A 21,786-nucleotide genomic window follows, 5' to 3' on the forward strand; every position below is an offset into this window, starting at 1 on the left:
AGGATTGTAAGAGAGATATCAAATAGGTAGGTAGATAGATAGATAGAGAGATAGATGGATAGATTTACTAGGTATTAGTGTTTTTAAAAAAATCTTTAAGTTCTTAAACAAATGTTTGTGGTATGGCTAACAGACATAAACTTCACATTACTCAGAAGACTGATATCAGCAAAATTTATTCCAAAGAACTTTTCTTTGTATGTTTCTCTTTCTCTCTCCCACACACAGGGAGTAGCAGACATACACACAAACACAGTAGTGTGCAATGTAGACTACACTGAAAATTTTGAGAAGTTGAGGAAAAGGAGAGTATAAATAATTAAACCTGCCTGAGCCGGTCAAAAATCTTCATTTGGCATTTCAATCTTTTTCACTTACAAGCAAAAATTTGTTGCCTTTCCCTTCTCTGAGGCTTTATACTTGATCTTCTTCCATAACACAGACATTTCTCCTAGGAACTGATATTTGTTGGCCTTCTGTCTGCATATCTACCTAGTTCTATCCCAGCTCATAATGTGCATACATAAAACCACTGTGCTTGGAATAAAAAATCCCAATGTGTATTTCAGAAGAGAGACTAAGCACAGATCATCTCTGGAGGTCAAACACTTGGGTTCAAATTGTAATGTTTTTTGTTTTATAACTTACTAAGTGACTATGGGCATATTACATGATTTCTCTGTGACTAAGACAACAATGTAAAAACCATTTTTTATTGAACTGAATATATTGGTGAGCCATCTGCCTCACACACTGGACAGCCCATTAATATGTTTCTTGAAAGTTATTTATATGGTCTTTTTTGACATTTTGCCATTGGTTTGTAATTTATTATCAACAATTAAACATGAGGATGAGCCATAGATGGATCAAGGCATTTTGTAGCCTTCTGTTGATATTCTCTCAGGCCTGAGTTATGCAGCCTTGGCTGGGTTTGCCACTGGCTTCTCAGTCATAGCCTTCAGAGGTGTAAAATATGCATGATGGTTTACATAGTGGTTTCCAGTTCTGCTAAGTCCTCGCCATCTCTCAGTGTCTCTCTCATCCAAACACATGCATGTAACCTTGAAATTATCTGAACAAAGATTTCAGTATTTTCAGTGTTCTAAAAGATCTAATGGAAACTTATGTTATATACATACACATATATATAACACATAAATTTGTAGATAACCATTAATATAGATTATAATGCATAACTATGGAGACAGCATAAACAGAAGGAAACTGAGATTCAATCTGGGTTCTGGGTCTAATTATTGCACCTAGTTACTGCATTTTTGGTGGCAATAGTATTCACCTGAAAAGTATTACAGTGTGGTTGGGGGGCAAAAAATAAGATAATAGATGTTAATGTGTTGTGGGGAAAAATACTTTGCATTTTATGTAATAATAAAATCTTCAAGTATTGTTACTACAATGGATATTGGTTGAGAAAGACAATTGGTTGAAAAAGGATTTCATGCAGTGATAAACTAATGAGATTATTTCCTACTCATAGGATAAGAGAAAGAGGAACAGAACCACACAGCAGGTATCCAAAACAATGTGATGGCTTAAAATTTCCTAACTGTGAGAAAATAAACAACTTATTTTTCTCCTATTAAGTTATAGTTTTAAAACTCTGGTTAAAAGAAAATCCTCTTGCTATGCAATAAATTCTGTCGTTTTTGTTATCATTCTTTGAATATCACTAAATAAAAAGATGAAAAATAAATGTTTAAAGCTTCACCTTACAAGCGAATGTTGTGCCTAAAAAGCACTATTATATTTTCCTTTAAACACATGACAATTATTCTTACAATAGAAGACTTCATACTGAAAACATAATGATGCAATAAATTTAACTGGAAGCTTGTAATATTTAATAACTTGGAAAGGACAAAATTATTTCAACAATGAACATTAAATTACATCTTTATCAATTATGTATGGTGAAAGTTATTTCTGACATTGTCCTTTGGTTAAGTGTCCGTTGAAAAAACAGAGGTCATTTTATTTATACATGTTAAATTGTTCAGCCCCTGGCTGTTTCGTGAATAAATTAAGCACCTTTTTCAGAAGACAAACATCAACTCAGTACAATTATTGAAGGCATTAGGAGACAATGCTAATGTATTTCATGCTTCAAAAGCTACAGCTGCCAAAAATTCATAGCAATCAATCAACATCTTTTCTGCAGTATTTCATATCTTAAACAGCCCACCAGGGGTAATTATTATGGGTAGAGTTTCCTTTTTTAGATAAAGTTGCTGGATATATTGATTAACCTATTGTTCCTTTGTGACTGCCTCATATGTAGCTAGAATATTAAAACTATGCTCTGTTTTTTCTTTTACAGAAAAAAATTAAAACTCAATCTAGACGATTTAATAAAATTCATTGCTTGTGAATAGAATTACCTTTTTTGTATGTGCTATTATACTCTACAATTCAGAATTAGAAAACTGAACAAAAGGATAAAATGGATAAAGAATTTGTTTTTCGTAGCTAAGAGATTTTGTTTTGAATTCTAAAACACATTTTAGAGGGCACCGAGCAGTCCCCAAGGAAACAGAATCTTCGTGAGAGAAGCGTCTCAGTTCATTGGAACGAGTAGATATAAGGTCAGATCATAATTCTTCAGCTGTTCATAGCAATGACTTCTTAGCCTCAAATGCAAAGAATGATGTGCTTTGTTAGTCAAAATTCTCAAGGAAAGGAAAAAGCAAAACAAAACAAACTTATCTTGGATTTTGCTTCCATTTTGAAAATTTCTTTCCAATCCTGTATTTCTCCTGCCCATCATCATAGCTACGATATAATTAAATCATTTAAATAAATGCATCAGGGCCGGGCGTGGTGGCTCACGCCTGTAATCCCAGCACTTTGGGAAGCTGAGATGGGCAGATCACGAGGTCAGGAGATCGAGACCATCCTGGCTAACACGGTGAAACCCCGTCTCTACTAAAAAATACAAAAAATTAGCCGGGTGTAGTGGCGGGCGCCTGTAGTCCCAGCTGCTCAGGAGGCTGAGGCAGGAGAATGGCGTGAACCAGGGAGGCGAAGCTTGCAGTGAGCCAAGATCTCACCACTGCACTCCAGCCTGGGCGACAGAGCGAGACTCGGTCTCAATAAATAAATAAATAAATAAATGCATCAGGATTTTGGCCCCAGAATATGACAACAACATCAACCTAACTAAAATTAATTAGAGATGATTTTGTATTCAGAAGCTTCAAACTGGTAGTCTTGGACGAAGCAGTAGCCTACAGAGGTGTTTAGCTTGGCCTACATAGTACTTAAAAATGTTGTTAAATAAGTTAGCAATATTTAAATATGCTAAATATTTAAAATAGTTAATAACAATAATATAAAAGTTTTGTTTTTCAGCTTTTAAAAAAAAAATCAGAACAGCTGACAATCTTGATTCCATATTACACAGAGGCTGAAGCTGAGTAATATAATTTTCTACTTCCCCTGAACTCCTTCATATGTCTTCCTTAAGGCATATTGATTTCTATAAACGCTGCTCACTTTTACAACACTTGTTTGTAGACATGTCTTATTCTTAACCCCTGTCAGCATCTTAATGGAAGAAACAATATTTTATCCTTTGCAAAGACCTTATATAGATAAAGAACATAGTAAGTGTCCCATGCTTTTTTTTTTCTTTCTTTCTTTTTTTTTTTTTTTGTAATTTTACTTTAAGTTCTGGGATACATGTGCAGAACGTGCAGGTTTGTTACATAAGTATACATGTGCCATGGTGGTTTGCTGCACCTATCAACCCATCAACTAGGTTTTAAGCCCCATATGCATTAGGTACTTGTCCTAATGCTCTCCCTCCCCTTGACCCTGACTTCCCAACAGACCCCGGTGTGATGTTCCCCTCCCTGTGTCCATATGTTCTCATCATTCAATTCCCAGTTATGAATGAGAGCATGCTGTGTTTGGTTTTCTGTTCTTGTGTTTGCTGAGAACAATGGCTTCTAGCTTCCTCCATGTCCCTGCAAAGGACATGAACTCATTCTTTTTTATGGCTGTATAGTATTCCATGGTGTATATGTGCCATATTTTCTTTATCCAGTCTATCATTGATGGAGATGTGGGTTGGTTCCAAGTCTTTGCTATTGAAAATAGTGCTGCAATAATCATACATGTGTATGTATCTTTATAGTAGAATGATTTAGAATCCTTTGGCTATATGCCCAGTAATGGGATTGTTGGGTCAAATGATATTTCTGGTTCTAGATCCTTGAGGAATCGCCACACTGTCTTCCACAATGGTTGAACTAATTTACACTCTCATCAATAGGGTGAAAGCATTCCTACTTCTCCACGCCTCGCCAGCATCTGTTGTTTCCTCACTTTTTAATAATTGCCATTCTAACTGGCATGAGATGGTATCTCATTGTGGTTTTGATTTGCATTTCTCTAATAACCAGTGATGATGTGATTTTTTAAATATGTTTGTTGGTTGTATAAATGCGTTTTTTGAGAAGTGTCTGTTCATATCCTTTGCCCACTTCTTGATGGTTTTTTTTTTCTTATAAATTTGTTTAAGTTCCTTGTAGGTTCTGGATGTTGCTTTCTAATAGGCATAAAATAATTAACCAGTGAAAGTAAAAAGGTCACTACATTACTAATTTTAGGATAATTTTGAATGCAAAGGAATTTCCAAAGGATGATAATGAAATTGAAGAATATTGAAAATATTTATTTATAAAAATTTTCCTGTAAAAATTTGTAACTTATTTTAAAACTTGAAGAGAACTTGATTACAGTGTGATACAGTGGTTATGAAACCCTGTTTTCCCTTAGCAGAGGAAACTAGTATAGACGCTAGACATGTACAGAACAGCTTCCCATGGCAAAGCAGGAATGGATGGAGGGTCCAGAACCCTTCATTAAGCCTTCTTGTTCCTGATACAGTTTAAAACCACAGTTACCCAGGGGTTTTGTGGATCAGTTTGGAAAGTACTAATCCTATCAGAAAGATTTCCCTCATTTGAGAAAAGAAGAGATTGACGGCTTTGCCCATTATGAGCAGACTCAGGATTACTGGTTACAAAGTTCTATTCTGAGATATATAGGATCTGAAAAAGTATGGCAGACACCCTTCCTGCTCGCAAAGAAAAGGAAAGAAAAAAATGCAATGTTTTAAAAATAACCATATAAACAAGTACCGTGCAGCTTAGAATCACTAAGAAATAAAAAATATGTCTGTAAAAACAGGTCAGGAATTTGAGACCATCCTGGTGAACATGGTGAAACCCTGCCTCTACTAAAAATACAAAAATTAGCCAGGCATGGTGGCACATGCCTGTAATCCCAGCTACTCAGGAAGCTGAGGCAGGAGAATCACTTGAACCCGGGAGGTGAAGGTTGCAGTAAGCTGAGATCGTGCCATTGCACTCCAGGTTGGGCAACAAGAGAGAAACTCTGTCTCAAAACAAAAACAGAAATAAAAACAAAAACGAAAACAGTCAAATATAGAGAACTCTGTTAATGCAGCATTTTTAGACTTCCTTGTTTTAGGCTAAATTACAGAAACACTGTTTTACAATTGTATATTCTGCATCAGGGTGTCGCAACCACAGCACTATTGATATCTGGGGCTAAAAAAGTCTTTTTCTAATGGAGTTATCTTGTGCATTATAGTTTGTTTAGCAACATTCCTGGCCTCTACCCATTAGATATCAGTAGAACATCCCAGGTGATGACTATCAGAAATGTCTTCGGACATTATCATATATCCCCTGAGGGCAAAATTATCCCCAGTAGAGAACCATTGCTCTATGTTACTAGAAACGGACGCTAATTCTTGGTAAACAAGACTAACATGCACCCTCCAATTCCAACTGTAGGATGTATAATGAATTATATAATAATTTTTGCAGTATTTGGAATTATTTTGAACCATCAACAAGATTGTAAGTATTGCTTCTCCTGTGTAGGATTTGAGGCAAAAGTGTTTTTATATTTATTACCAAGGTAGTCTCTAGACTTCAACAGTGCGTTCCATGTTTTCTTAAATGCCAGTTGTTACGGAGGGATGTCTGAGCCTGGGCAGATTCTGGAAGGCGGTTGATTAGGCCTGGTTAGAACCCTTCACTAAGCTGCTAAGAATGGGTACTGGGACTGAGAGCTTATGCTAAGCACTTTGGGCCAGGCATTTCAAATCTTTTGATGAGCTCTTGAGGTTCAGGATGGCTCTTCTCATTTACCTAAATTTGATTGAATATTTCTATTAGTTTGAAAAACAAAACAAAGACAAAACAATCAGCCTTGGAGATATGTCACTTACGTATGTACTAGGGATCTTCTAAGCATTTTGTATATATTAACTAGTTTGATCCTCACAGAAAAACAATGAGGTAACTATTGTGACTTCTCTCATCTTAGTCACAGAGCAATCATTTAATGTGCCAATAGTCATTTAGTTGGTAAGTTTAAAAAAAAACAACAACAAAAAACAGCATTACTATTTGAATCCAAGTATTTGACGTCCAGAGTTGATAGGTTTATGTCTGTGGCTCTGTCTCTTCACAAATACACACGTTTGGATTTTGCATAGTCATTTTTATTATTATAATCAGTATATTAATGAGTTACATATTTATTAGGTATAAGAATATCTTAATCTAACATTTTGTTTAAATAAAATTTTATTACTTTATAATTGATTTATTTCTCTTCCTACCCAATAAGTTATGCTTTTGTAAAATAGAGGTTCTTTTTATTTTATGAACTATAAATGAGTGTGTATATGTATATAATTACATTAAATGCCTACATGCAGATATATATTAATACTCTGCATACATGATTTCTTTTTTTTTATCTTTTACTTTGGTATCATTTCAGTCTTACGGAAAAATTGCAAAAGTCTCTCTCTCCCTTTTTAATTTTTCTTCCTTCTTCCTTCTTTCTCTTCCCCTTCTCCTTCCCCTTCTTTTCCTCCTTCTCCTCCTCTTTCCTCTTTTCCTCCTCCTCCCCCTTCTCATTCTCTTTGTTTTTTCTTCTTTCTCTTCACCCACTCTCTGTCTTCTGTAAAGTCATTTTTTTCTTTATAATTAATATACAGCTTGTGGAGAGATACTTTGTAACTACATAAATATTCTCTTACTCTTCAGAGTTATACCTCTGGCTTTAGAATCAATTGATAAACTGGCATGAAAATAATATTATCATGTATGCAGAGTATTATCTATTGCTTAAAAGTCACCATGTTAAAACAATAGGCCCTTATTATTTCATAGTTTCTGTGGGTCAGAAATTCAGAACCTGCTTTATAGGGTGGCCCTGACTCTGACTCTCAGAGGATAACAATGAAGATGTCCTCTGGGCTGTAGTCATAATGAGGACTTGATGGGAGTGAGGATTTACTTTCAAGATAGCTGACATGCCTGGCTACTGCAGGAGGCCTCACTTCGTCACTGACTGACGTGGTCTCAGTTCCCCAAATGTGTACCTCTCCATGGGGCTGCTGTGTGTACACCTGACATGGCAAATGACTTGACCTTGAGTGAGTGATCCAAGAGACAGTAAGGTAGAAGCTTCACTGTATTTTATGTCATAGCCATGGAAATCACACATTGTCATTTCTACTGAGATGAGAGGGGAGTATGTAAAGGTTCAAATACAAAGAAATGGAAAGTTAGAGGCCGTCTTGGATTCTAGCTACCAAAATTATTTTTGTGATGGTTGGCAAATGATTTTCTAGTGCAATCATCTCTTCTGTAGTTATTATTTGGCTTTCAAAAAGAAAGCAGAGCTGTCTTTTATCCTTCAGTTATTTATTATTTAATTCGTGTAGATTTATGAATTCATATTTTATTCAGTAGATTGTAATCTATTAATATAATTATTTACTTTTGTTCTCCAAATGCCTAAGATTCAACAAGCTGGATCTCCTTCAAGCACTTCTGTTTCCTTTTAACATGTCCCTGTTATGTTTTGAGTTTGCTATGTTTGAACTACTTATTAGTTTTAACTGAAGTTACATTTGCACCACCCTAATAACTCATTGGCTAACAAAGAGTGGTTTGTTTGGGCCCCTAGATTCCCAGACCCTTTCAGTGGAACTTCAAGGTCAAAACTATTATAAAAATGTTACTTTTTTACCTTTTATTTACATTGATAGTGCAAATGCAATGGTAGAAAATAATTCCTGGAACCTTAACGCTACTCAAGGGCTCCCAACAAATTACACTACCAATCATTGTGTTCTTCACCCTTCTCAAAAAAAAAAAAAAAATCAACTTCACATGAAAATGTACTTAATAATAAGAATTATTAATTTTGTTGAATCTGTACGCTTGAGAATAATCTTTTAACTATTCTTTTTAATAAAATAGCAATCATTCATAAAGTTCTTCCTCTGTATATCAAATTATGATGACTGTGGCTGGACTTAATAGGGTCTTCTCAAAATTCATAAGTTGAAACCCTAACATCCCATATGACTATATTTGAAAACACGGTGTTTAGGATGTAATTAAGATTAAATGATGGGCCGGGCGCGGTGGCTCACGCCTGTAATCCCAGCACTTTGGGAGGACGAGGAGGGTGGATCACCTGAGGTCAGGAGTTTGAAACAAGCCTGGCTGACATGGTGAAACCCTGTTGCTACTAAAACTACAAAAAATTAGCCAGGTATGGTGGCATACACCTGTAATCCCAGCTACTCGGGAGGCTGAGGCAGGAGAATCACTTGAACCCGGGAGGCGGAGGTTGCAGTGAGCTGGGATTGTGCCACTGCACTCCAGCCTGGGCAATAAGAGTGAAACTCTGTCTCAAAAAAGAAATAAAAGATTACATGAGATTGTTTAACCTCATTAAGGTGGAGCCTTAATGCAAAAGGACTGGTGGTCTCATAAGAAGAGGGGGAACCTCCCTCTCTGTCTATATGCATGTGCACAGAAGAAAGCCTATGTGATCATAGAGAAAGAAGGCAGCCATCTGCAAGCCAAACAGAGAAGGCTCACCAGAACTTAACCATGCTGGCACCTTCATTTCAGATTTTTAGCTTCCAGAACTGTGAAAAATGAATGTATGCCGTTTTAGCATCCTGTCCATGATATGTTGTTATGGCACCCGCAGCTGACTAATACAACTGCCATGGGGCAAAACATCCTATTATTGTTTTTGAGTTGTTAGCTAAACTAGCTGCTTTGTTTATGGTACAAGTTGAAAGGGTGACTGAGCAATAAAGCATGATTATGCAGACCTCACTAATTGGCAGATACTTTATCAAATATGAACTGAGTCTACTGCTTTAAGAAAAACAACTGACATTTTTAATTTTTGATGATATAACCCAAGCTTTATGTGAAAATTAGACACATAAAACACTTTTATAAGCCACCATGAACTAAGACTTTTTAATGAAAATGGTGATAATGTTAGCCATGTGAGTTTTTAAATAATGTATAATCAAATTTGCCAACATTTGAGGGATCTGCCTAACTCAGTGAACCAATATTTTCCAGATGATAAATGTGTAATATTATAAAATTGTCTATGGGTAAGAGATCATTCAAAATGCAAGATAGAAAAAGAGGTTTTACTGTAACAAGGTATGAAAAGTCCATTGATCTGATTTTAGATTTCATATTTCAACTAATCTTTTTTTTTTTTTTTTTTTTTGAGACAGTCTCACTAGTGCAGTGGCATGATTTCAGCTCACTGCAAGCTCCGCCTCCCGGGTTCACGCCATTCTCCTGCCTCAGCCTTCTGAGTTGCTGGGACTACAGGCGCCTGCCCCGACACCCGCAAATTTTTTGTATTTTTAGTAGAGACGAGGTTTCACCGTATTAGCCAGAATGGTCTCGATCTCCTGACCTCGTGATCCTCCTGCCTGGCCTCCCAAAGTGCTGGGATTACAGGCGTGAGCCACCACGCCCGGCCTCAACTAATCTTTAAAAAAACTACCAATCATCAAGTTTTGGAACAGTATCCAAAAACAATATGTAAAATTATGTGGAAAGTCTATTAAAATACTTAACATTTCAACTACATATATGTAGTTGGATTTTCATCATATGCTTTAACTAAAGCAATATAGAGTAAAAGATTGAATTCAAAAGCACACATTAGAGTCCTCCTCTCTTCTAGTAAGTCAGATTAAAACAATGCCATACTTCTCACTAATTTGGGAAATAAAATATTATATTATTATTTTTTATAACAAATTTTATTTATGTTAACTTGTAATGGTTTTATTATTGTTGTCTTAAAACAAATCAATAAATGGATACATAATTTTTGTTTGCATTTCAATTATAATAAACAATAATAGATATAACCTATATAAACAAAGTTTTTTGGGTTCCTTGATCATTTTAAGAGTGTAAAGTTATTATGAATTCCAAAAGTTTGAAAACTGCTGCTTTAAATGATTTTAATTTTTATGTTCATTTATTTTATTTGATTTTTTAAATACAATTTCTATATTTTTAGATTTTATTACTTTTACATATGAAAATATTAAACTCCATTTATGGGTATAATGAGGACAACTAAAAATGTAGCCCATGTCTTTAGAAAGAGGTTAAGAACATTATCTGAGGAGTAGAATGGCTAAGCCAATTTCAAAATAAATTCCTTTAGGTATTCCTAGATGCAAACACTGATTTTAAAATCAGTCAGCTACAGAAGATCAGAAATCTTATTTTAAAATTAGCTGAGCTGTGTTACTTAAGGGACCAGAGGGTAAAATACCACTATTAAGAAATTTTTCTTTTGTCTCTACAACAGACAAGTAAAGTACTGGATCCTTGTTTTGTTTTCGTTTTCTTGCTTTGTCACTCAGGCTGGAGTGCAGTGGCACAATTTTGGCTCACTGAAACCTCTGCCTCCCAGGTTCAAGTGATTCTTGTGCCTTAGCCCCCCAAGCAGCTGGTATTATAGGCGTATGCCACAATGCCTGGCTAATTTTTGTATTTTTAGTAGAGGCAGGGTTTCACCATGTTGGCCAGGTTGGTCTCGAACTCCTGACCTCAAGTGATCTGCCGCCTTGGCCTCCCAAAGTATTGGGATTACAGGTGTGAGCCACTGTGCCAGGCCCATGTTGTTTTTAATAAGTAGTTTGTTCATGTAGAAATACACAGTCTAGAGTTTTTCATTTATTCCAAAGATTTGGTATTCAGGAACACATTCTTTAATGAATCAAACACACATACACGTTCATTTATATGCTGAATGATATTTATAGTATGTATATATATATGTGTGTGTGCATATATATGTATATATGAGATAAATCAAATTTGCAGTTTTTGGTTTACACAGCCAAATTGGAAAAGACATATTCTTTCCGTATAGGCAAGACAGCTTTACCTTTTAACAGAGGGCATTCAAGCTTTTTAATCCTGAGCTCTTCTGGTGCCAAAGTCCCCGATCTTCTAGAATCCTGCAGACTGACTGATAACAAATAGACTTTGCCATTATGATAACTATATTTATTTTGAACACAGGAAACCCCACATTGAATTTCTGACATATTTGATTAGGACTAGGAAGGCCATGGGTCCTTTTGCAACATAAGAGAAAAAAGAAAAAAAAAAAGAAAAAGCTAGTCCAGCCATAAAAATGTACAGATGATGCAGACTTTCAAGAGATTTTTATTTTAGAACTTGATGATTTCTAGTAGTTTTCAGTTTTTCATTTAAAATATTCTAACAAAACCCTGAATGGTTTATAGAACACTCATTTAAATGGGCCTCTAAAAATATTGTGATTAAACATCTTAAACAGCTCATATTTATTTCTCATAAGAGGGCTCCTGACTAATCTTCATTATTTGAAAGCTTCATTTTCATGTTTCAAAAAGTGTACATGGGCATTGTGAAATGGCAATTAAGTTTTGATGTTTTTAAATACCTAATTTAATTTGAATGCTTAAATATTTCAAGCCATCTACAGGGACTTAATGTCATGTCCATAAGGAAGTTTTTTCTCAGGTTGAATGATTCATTGAACACTTTAAAATGTAGTAAAAGCAAAAATTAATGGACCCTAGTTTACTTAATTTTTAAAGTAAGAGTAAAACAAAATATAACATTATAAATTCAATAAACACTGTTTTAGGTAAATGGTTTTATAATATGATATTGTTGGATTTTTAAAAATTAGACATTTATTTTACTTAGCATAATGTACACACTTTTGAAAAAATGGAAAGAAACTACTACTGTTTGACACAAGTCATAATTCGTTTTTATTTTACCTTTAACAAAAGAAATATTTATTGACTGCTTGCCATGTACTAGGTATAGTGCTAGGTACTTGAGATCCAGCGGTACAGATTAAAAGTTGATGGGAGTGAAGGAGTTATAACAAATAAAAACATAAGTAATTGTGTAACTTCAATCCCTAATGAGTGCTATAAAGGAGAAAAAAAGAGTAATGCAACAGAGAATAATTGATGATCTCTGTATTTTAAGAGGTTACAGATCACCTTACAGAAAAATTATCATTTTTATTGATATCAAAAGGTGAAGACAAATTATGCATGTGAAGAGGAGGAAGAATATGTATTGTAGGATGCAAAGGCCCTAAGTTTGAAATTGCTCAGACTTTCAAAATACAGAAAGAATATCAATGTGGCTAGAGTATAATGAACATGAAGGAAGGAGGTACAAAGAAAGCTTTGCATGACATACCAAGACTTTTGAATATTATTTTAAGTCCACATGAAGTTATTGAAGGGTTTTAAGCAAGATAATGATATGTCTGCTGCATTGAAAATATCTGTTACACAGTAAGGTGACTATAGCAAATAACAATGTTCTATATATTTCAAGAAGGTTGGAAGAAATTTTCAATGTTATCACCACAAAGATATCATAGATATTTAAAGTGATAAATATAATATTTACTCTAATTTTATTGTTATATAATGTATACAAACATTAAAATGTCACATTGTACCCCATAAGCATGTACAATCATTATGTGCCAACTATAAATAAAACTAAAACTGGTTGCTACATGGAGATTAGAATGGGATGTGAGAGTAGTGGAAATTGGCAAATAACTGTGGAGGTGAGGATCTCTTAATATTTCAAAGCAGAAGATTTAGGTGGATAGAGTTTACAGTGCATTTTGTAACAGAAATGATAGGATTGGATGATGCTTATGTAGAATGAAGTGAAGTTGAAGGTATCAAGGCGATGCCTGGTTTCTCTTTTGAGCCACTGATGTGCCTGGGGTGGAACAGATTAGAGAAGAGGTAAGTTTTTAAGAGAATGATAATGATTGTGGACATATAGTGTATTGTTTGAGAAGCCTGGGAGGAATCTTAGAGGAAATTCACATGGGTAATGTATGAGGAAATTGAGAAAGAAGACTAAGATTCATAGACGTGCTTTAGTACCATAGGTGTGAGTTGCCACAACACTTGAAGAAAATGAGATTGTCCAGGGTAAAATGTAAGGTGGACAAAAGAAGACTAAATTTATATTTAAAGGAAAAATCCTTTTGGAATTTCATAACCAATCTCTCTCTTTCAATATTTAATTCATTCCTTTAAACTTTGCATAAAGGAATATTTCATTTGCAAGAGTAGAATGATTTTATATGTGATTTTTTTTCCAATGGATATTTTAATCTGGCAAAATAATGAATTTTTCCGTTGAAATTTGATAGAACCTATCTATAAAACCACCAGGGTCTGAGAATTTATTTTTTAAAAGAAAATATTTTACTATAAGTATAATTGATTTAAAACTAAAACCAATGTTTATTTAATTTCTTTATTTCTTCTTCTACTGATTTTGAATAAGATATCATTCATTTCGGCCACATGTTTAAATGTATTATTAACAGTCATTCATAATTATTTTCCACTATTTTGTGTAATATTTTGCTTCTGTATTTATATTTACCGATTCTCTCATTAGCTATCATAATTCACTTGTGGATTTTTCTGAGCTTATCTATATAAAGACAAGACATACTACCTGACACTACTGACATTTCTCTTTCTCTGTTTCTTAACCTTAAATATTTTATTTTGTTTATTATCATATTTTTATAGTCCTGCCTCAGCCCTTCAGTACAGTCTAGTATAGAGGCAGAAATAGTAGTTATCATAGCTCATTTCTGAATTTAAAAGACAAGTTTCAAATTGTCACCTCCGAATATGATCTTTGCTGTTCATTTCGGTGATACCCTTTTTCATCTTAAGGAAGTGCCTTTTTATTGAAATCAGTAGTGTGCATGCTTATGTTTGCATCTCCAGAAATAACTGCATGTCAGCTATTCCAACTGAGGAAATATCTGAGGAACGATAAAAATAGGGCCTTTTGGTTGGAATTATTCATGCTTTGTTTGACTGGTGGCATTTGGATTCTTATTCCTTTTTAGGTAATAAAATTTATTTTTTCTTCTGAAGTTTATATTTTCTTTTATTGTTATGTGACTTTTTCTGTGATATATTTATGTGCAGATTGCTTTTAGTTATCCTTGTTGACAATTACTTAATGGGCCTTCTCAATCTGAAGACTCATGGCTTTCTTCATTCCTGGGTGATGGTCTGGGGCAGTAATGATTTTAGGCTTGGGCAAGAAGACACATTGTGCCCTACACTATAAAAATTTTCACTAAACATTTTCTCTAGCTGTGTTTTTACAACAAAAAGAAGGCTGCACTTGCCCACTTGGGGGCTACACTCCACCTCTAGATCACACTTCCAGATCACAAATTTAGATCACACTTCAGGGTTCCTGGGAACCTTACATTTCCATTTCAAATAGCCCCAGCATACTTTTGGGATATATGCAGCCCTCTTAACTCTTTCTTTCTTTTTTTTTTTTTTTTTTCACTGTGTGTCTCTTTTTAATTTCAACACTTGGAAAATACTATGAAATGATTCCCTTATTATTGGGGTAAATTCAGCCAGACATCGGGCAAAATTCACCTCCGATATTTCACCTAGGTTCTTTTCTATTTTCCCTAAGCCTCGACCGGTTTGAGAAATAAAGGGACAGAGTACAAAAGAGAGAAATTTTAAAGCTGGGCATCCGGGGGTGACATCACATGTCGGTAGGTTCCATGATGCCCCACAAGCCGCAAAACCAGTAAGTTTTTATTAGGGATTTTCGAAGGGGAGGGAGTGTACGAATAGGGTGTGGGTCACAGAGATCACATGCTTCACAAGGTAATAGAATATCACAAGGCAAATGGAGGCAGGGCGAGATCACAGGACCACAGGACTGGGGTGAAATTAAAATTGCTAATGAAGTTTCGGGCACCATTGTCATTGATAACATCTTATCAGGAGACAGGGTTTGAGAGCAACCGGTCTGACCAAAATTTATTAGGCGGGAATTTCCTTGTCCTAATAAGCCTGGGAGCGCTATGGGAGACTGGGGCTTATTTCATCCCTATAGTCTTGACCATAGAAGACAGCCACACCCAGGGGGGCCATTTCAGAGGCCCACCCTCAGGGGTGCATTCTCTTTCTCTGGGATGTTCTTTGCTGAGAAAAAGAATTCAGCAATATTTCTCCCATTTGCTTTTGAAAGAAGAGAAATATGGCTCTGTTCTACCCCGCTCACCTGCAGTCAGAGTTTAAGGTTATCTCTCTTATTCCCTGCACATTGCTGTTATCCTGTTCTTTTTTCAAGGAGCCCAGATTTCATATTGTTCAAACACACATGCTCTACAATTTGTGCAGTTAACGCAATTATCACAGGGTCCTGAGGCAACATACATCCTCTTCAGCTGACAGGATTAAGAGACTAAAGTAAAGACAGGCATAGGAAATCACAAGGGTATTGATTGGGGAAGTGATAAGTGTCCATGAAATCTTCACAATTTATGTTTAGAGACTGCAGTAAAAACAGGCATAAGAAATTATAAAAGTATTAATTTGGGTAACTAATAAATGTCCATGAAATCTTCACAATCCACATTCTTCTGTGATGGCTTCAGCCGGTCCCTCCGTTCAGGGTCCCTGACTTCCCGCAACACCTTATTTTTTATAATTTGATTTTATATTAGATTCAGGAGGTGCTTGTATGTGCAGGTTTGTTACATGGGCAGCTTGCATAATGGCAGAGTTTGGACTTCTAGTGTACCTATCACCCAAATAGAAAATATTGTACACAATAGATAATTTTTCAGACTTCAACCCCTCTCACCCTCCTCCCTTTTGGAGTTCCCAGTGCCTTTTATTTCCACATTCATTGTCCATGTGTTGCTGAGGCCAGCTAGGTCAGAGAGACCCTAACCCAGTGGCACTAGAGGAATTAAAGACACACACACAGAAATATAGAGGTGTGAAGTGGGAAATCAGGGGTCTCACAGCCGTCAGAGCTGAGAGCCCCGAACAGAGATTTACCCACGTATTTATTAACAGCAAGCCAGTCATTAGCATTGTTTCTACAGATATTCGATTAACTAAAAGTATCCCTTATGGGAGACAAAGAGTTGAGCCGAAATAAAGGGGTGGGTCTGGCTAGTTATCTGCAGCAGGAATATGCCCTTAAGGCACAGATTGCTCATGCTATTTTTGTGGTTTAAGAACACCTTTAAGCGGTTTTCCACCCTGGGCGGGCCAGGTGTTCCTTGCCCTCATTCCAGTAAACCCACAACCTTCCAGTGTGGGTGTTATGGCCATCATGAACATGTCACAATGCTGCAGAGATTTTGTTTATGGCCAGTTTTGGGGCTAGTTTATGGCCAGATTTTGGGGGGGCCTGTTCCCAACAATGTGTATCCATTGTTTAGCTCCCACTTATAAGTGAGAACATTAACTCTTATCTATCCTTCTAAGGGCTGACTGCTCCGTCAGTTTTCACTGTTAGGGTCAATGACAAAAGACATCTGCATGTTTTTCTTTCTTTCTTTGTTTTCCCGTGACAGTATTGGCTTATACTCTATTAGCTAGTTACTCATTGCACTCAGATCTTTAGTTTATAATTTCTGTTAGACTATCATCAGTTTCTTTGTTTTGTTTTGGGGTTTCATTATTTCAATATGTAATAGGAAGTTTTAGTGTGGCTTATCTCTTAACCTGCTTTCAAGAAAACTGAAAGAAGGCCAGTCTGTTGCTAGTAGAGTATGATGACCTAATCCCTTGGGTATAGATGAAGGCTACCCATTGCTCCTACACTTTACTAACTACTTAGGGCAACCCTTTTTCTCTATATCCATTTCACTCCAAGTATTCTCCAAAGGGAAGAGAGAGACCTAGGTCACAAATGACCTAGTGTACAGACGAAGTGTAAGTATCGGAGTGTTCATGTTTTGGCACACTAATAATCTTGTGTAACAATAGGCCTCTTTCATTTTTTATATTATTATGAATGCTCAACCTCAAATCAGTACTCTTTTGTGAAATATTGGTTTTTAGCATTAAGTAAATAAGGATTCTTTTGTTGGAATTTGAATTTCTTGAGCTGTGGTTTATTTATTTATTTTTTAATCCAGAAGACAGCAATAAAGCAACACAGCTGAGGATCCTGCATTATCTACATAAAAGAAAATCTACACAATGTTTATAAAAATAGATCTCAGTGAAGCATATCATTTGCAAATTCAATAAGCAAATACAATGGGGTTTGTTTTTCTACTTTGTTATATAAATTTCAGGATGATGTTCTACAAACTTCGAGAATCTAGTGGCATCTAATATGGAATGATTCTTCCAGGAAGACGTTTGTAATGCTCACTCAGGAAATATCAGTGAATACTTCAGAAAGCTTAATTTCTTTACAACAGAAGCTCGTATATAAAATTTAATTTTTAATAAAACCTTTTCTCAGTATGTTGGCCTTTTTGTCCCCTGCGATCCCAAAGACAATGGAATGCCCCCTGGGATCCCAAAGACAATGGAATGCAAATACTATGTAAGAACAATATTCTGCTATACAAGAGCACTTTAGTTTGATGACTACTTCAGTATGTTCAAAATGCATGATATGCCAGGATTTTTCTCTTTGAACATTTTCGTAACTACAGAGCTATTATTTGTAGTTTATTTAAACTTTAGTTGAGGATAGATTAAAGTAGCTTAACATTTATGATTTCTATTTCCATATTGTTTCTTCTTTAATCTTTATCTTGCATTTTTTTCTTTCAGAAACTTTTCACAACTTTGATCTACTGTAGCTTTTTTCCCAACACAATTGTGAATTGATTTAAAATTTTTAATGTTCTCTCTACAAGTTATGATGATTTGTGGCAGAAAGGAGAGTCTAAAGCATGTGCACAATCCTCCCAGCATCTTTTTAACTACGGAAATTTGTCAAAATGTTCAGTCTTCCTTGCAGATGCTAATTCTGTAGGTCTAAAAGGGGCTTCAAGTATCTGCTTTCGTTAAACTCCCCAGTGTATTTTTATGAGAAAGTACATCTGGGAAACATGGCTATAATGAACAAAAATCCAATTCAAATAAATAAAGTTAGGTTTCATTCCAAACTCTGTTACTTAAAGCCAGTCGCTCACCATCGTTGAAACATAGTGACATCTTCTTTAGAAGATTATATCTACTACTCAGCTGAGAGCAATAAAATTGGTAATGTCTATGAAGCAAAGAAAAAATGCCTACAGTAAAGTTACGTAAGTTATTTTCATTTTTGGTGCTTCCCAGATAAAGAGAAGTAATCCACTTGGGGAACCTCACTGAAGCATTACATTATATGATCATTAGCTCTCAGGTCTTGTATAGTAGAACCAGTCTCTTCCATTATCATTCATACAAACGTAATTGTCTATAGTTATATTAATTTTCTCTGATTTTTATGTAGTGCCTTCTAGGTAATACACTGCATTGGTTTGGAATCTCTCTACTTCTGATATGTGATGGACATTGTATTGGTGACCCATGGACACATTGATTATGCAACCTCAGGCTACGCTCACCCTGATTATACTTGCATTGGAAAGGTATCTCCAAAAGCCAAATCTGAAACAGAAAACAACAAAAACAAAGAGGGACTGAGGTAGACATGCCTCTGATTCTAGCCTAACTTCTTTTTTTTGTTTGTTTGTTTTAAACCTGTTACCTTATATCTCTATTTTATTTTAATGGTAAGTCAAAAAAAAACTGTAGGTTCAAAAATAGAATTTTAGATGAGTTCCAATTTTATCTGATACTTTTTTTCATAACCCATATAGTTATAATAAGATGTACCTCCAGTAATTTTGGCTTTGTTAAACTCTCCAAAGCTTATTATAAATTTCAAGTTTTTATAAATAAGTTTTCAACATTTCCTACAGCTAGGGTAATCTGGTTACTATAGGAAAGATTGAGAACTTAAATACACACCCACAACTCCACACACATATGCCTACACAGCAAAAACATTGGCAAAGACAATTGTGAATACCTCAATAATTTGATTATATAAATAAGGTTCATATCTATAACCATATTATAGCTTTAATCCTCAGGCATTTAAACTAAAAAAAGGTATTAACCATCATACCATTCTTCATTCATATATTTATATATCAATTCTAATTTGGTTAATTAGGAACTCTTTAGATAATGAATGGATAATCCTAATTCAATCTTTCATGAAACAAACATTTTAATTCCATTGAAAGATTCACTAAAGATACTGATGTTCCGCCGGGCTCGGTGGCTCACGCCTGTAATCGCAGCACTTTGGGAGGCCGAGGTGGGCAGATCATGAGGTTAGGAGATCAAGACCATCCTGGCTAACACGGTGAAACCTCGTCTTTACTAAAAATACAAAAAATGGGCAGATCATGAGGTTAGGAGATCGAGACCATCCTGGCTAACACGGTGAAACCTCGTCTTTACTAAAAATACAAAAAATTAGCCAGGCGTGGTGGCGGGAGACTGTAGTCTCAGCTACTCCGGAGGCTGAGGCAGGAGAATGGCGTGAACCAGAAGGCAGAGCTTGCAGTGAGCAGAGATCGCGCCACCGCACTCCAGCCTGGGAGACAGAGCGGGACTCCGTCTCAAAAAAAAAAAAAAAAAAAAAAGATATTAATGTTCATTTGCAACAACTCACAAATATGAACTTGAAGAAATAATGTATTTTATGTTGTTTTCTTTTTTAATTTAAATCAATAGCTAATCATAAAATCAAACATTGATTAATAAGGTCTCTATAATAAGTGTTATCAAAAAATCAAAGTTTGAATTAAGTATTTAGAATGCTCAAATTGAAAGTTAATGAAGATTAACTTTCTTCTAATGTTCTTAATTCTAATTTTCAATCTATTTGAAGATTATCCTTCCTCAGAAAGAAGATGAATAAATAGGAAAATTAAGCTGCCATTTTAAACAATAAAGTCATAAAAAACTAAAACCAAAAGATAATCCTAAAAATAAATTACTATTCAACTATTAAAGAGAGTGAAATAGTTTATACTCTGTGTAAAATGAAATAAAATAAACTAAATTGCTATGTTGGTGATATAATAAAATTTGCTCAGATACTTTATTTTTATGATGAATTAAATTATACACACTCTTCTCAGCATAAGTCAGCACAATCTATGGGTATAATTATGCTAACAATGAGTATACATAATTTTATAATGTAATTTCAGGAAGTCATTTTTGGAGTCAAAATTTCAAATTAGTTTATGTAATATGAAAAGATAAATTACATACAGATGAAAAATTTTGTATGTATTTATACATTCCTATGTATTAAAGATACAGCTGTTTATTTAACAAGTACATATTAGTGTTTATTCTCTAAAGATATGTGTTAGTGCCTATATTGTGAATGGTAATAAAAACAGAATATTAATATATTATCTGATACATCTATAAAATATCAATTAGAATCTGTTTATCATTCTGTATAGGAAAATCATCTGGATAAAAATATCAGTTCAACACAGCAAAATCTAAAGGTCCAAATTAAAACACACTATAATTTAGTAGAAACTTCACTTTAGTAGACACAGATTTAAAATTTCTATTGGAGCAAAATAAAACTATTTTGCAAGACATTTCCCACCATCTCCATCTCAGTTATTTATCTCCCTTTTCAAACTTCTGTACATATATGAAAATGTGAGCTTCATCCCTAGAGAACCTACTGTGAAACAAGTTTCTGGTTTTCTTTCAGGCATTCTTATATTCAATTGTGTTGGCTAGAGGAAGATGTGAAGAAAGGGTATTTCACTCAGTCATTTTTTAACCATCATTGTCTCTTATTTTCTGAATATCTGTATAAACTTAATTTCTCTAAACTAGCTGTGGACATCCTGTTTTCAATGGAAGAGCTCGCTTCCTTCTTTACACAGAATGATAAAAACATCATTGATGCACTCAGACAACTTGTGTCTTCTACTTAAAACAAAAATAACAATTTCATTCCTCCCTTTTCTCATTCAGGCCTCAGGGTTACATATTTCTAATCTACTCTCGAGGACTTCCACTTCACTTTTACCTTCTAAGTAATCTGTATTCATTAATTCTCCTAGTTAACATTTTCTCTTGTAATTACTCCTTAATCTACAAATATTTCCAAATCTCTTTATGAATAAAAAAGAAGAAAACACTCCCTTTGATTCTTTGCTTTATCTCAGGAAAACTTCTTAGAAAGAATGATGTGGTGCATTTTCTGACACCAACCAATTCTCTAACTCAAGCTGGGTTTCTAACAATTCAGTTTAATTCTGACAACAACTACCCAGAGCTAGAACAGAACCCACACGTTAAGGACTGAGTCCAACAAGACTGCTCCTACTTGAGACACAAGTCACAAGTCTCAGGCCATCTGTAATTCTAATCAACTGGTTATAAATCAGGAGTTTACATAACCCTTTCCTCGATTTCATAATTTGCTAGAATGACTC

The sequence above is a fragment of the Homo sapiens genome, chromosome 3 (genome assembly GCF_000001405.40).
Source record: "Homo sapiens chromosome 3, GRCh38.p14 Primary Assembly".
NCBI classification, from domain to species: domain Eukaryota; kingdom Metazoa; phylum Chordata; class Mammalia; order Primates; family Hominidae; genus Homo; species Homo sapiens.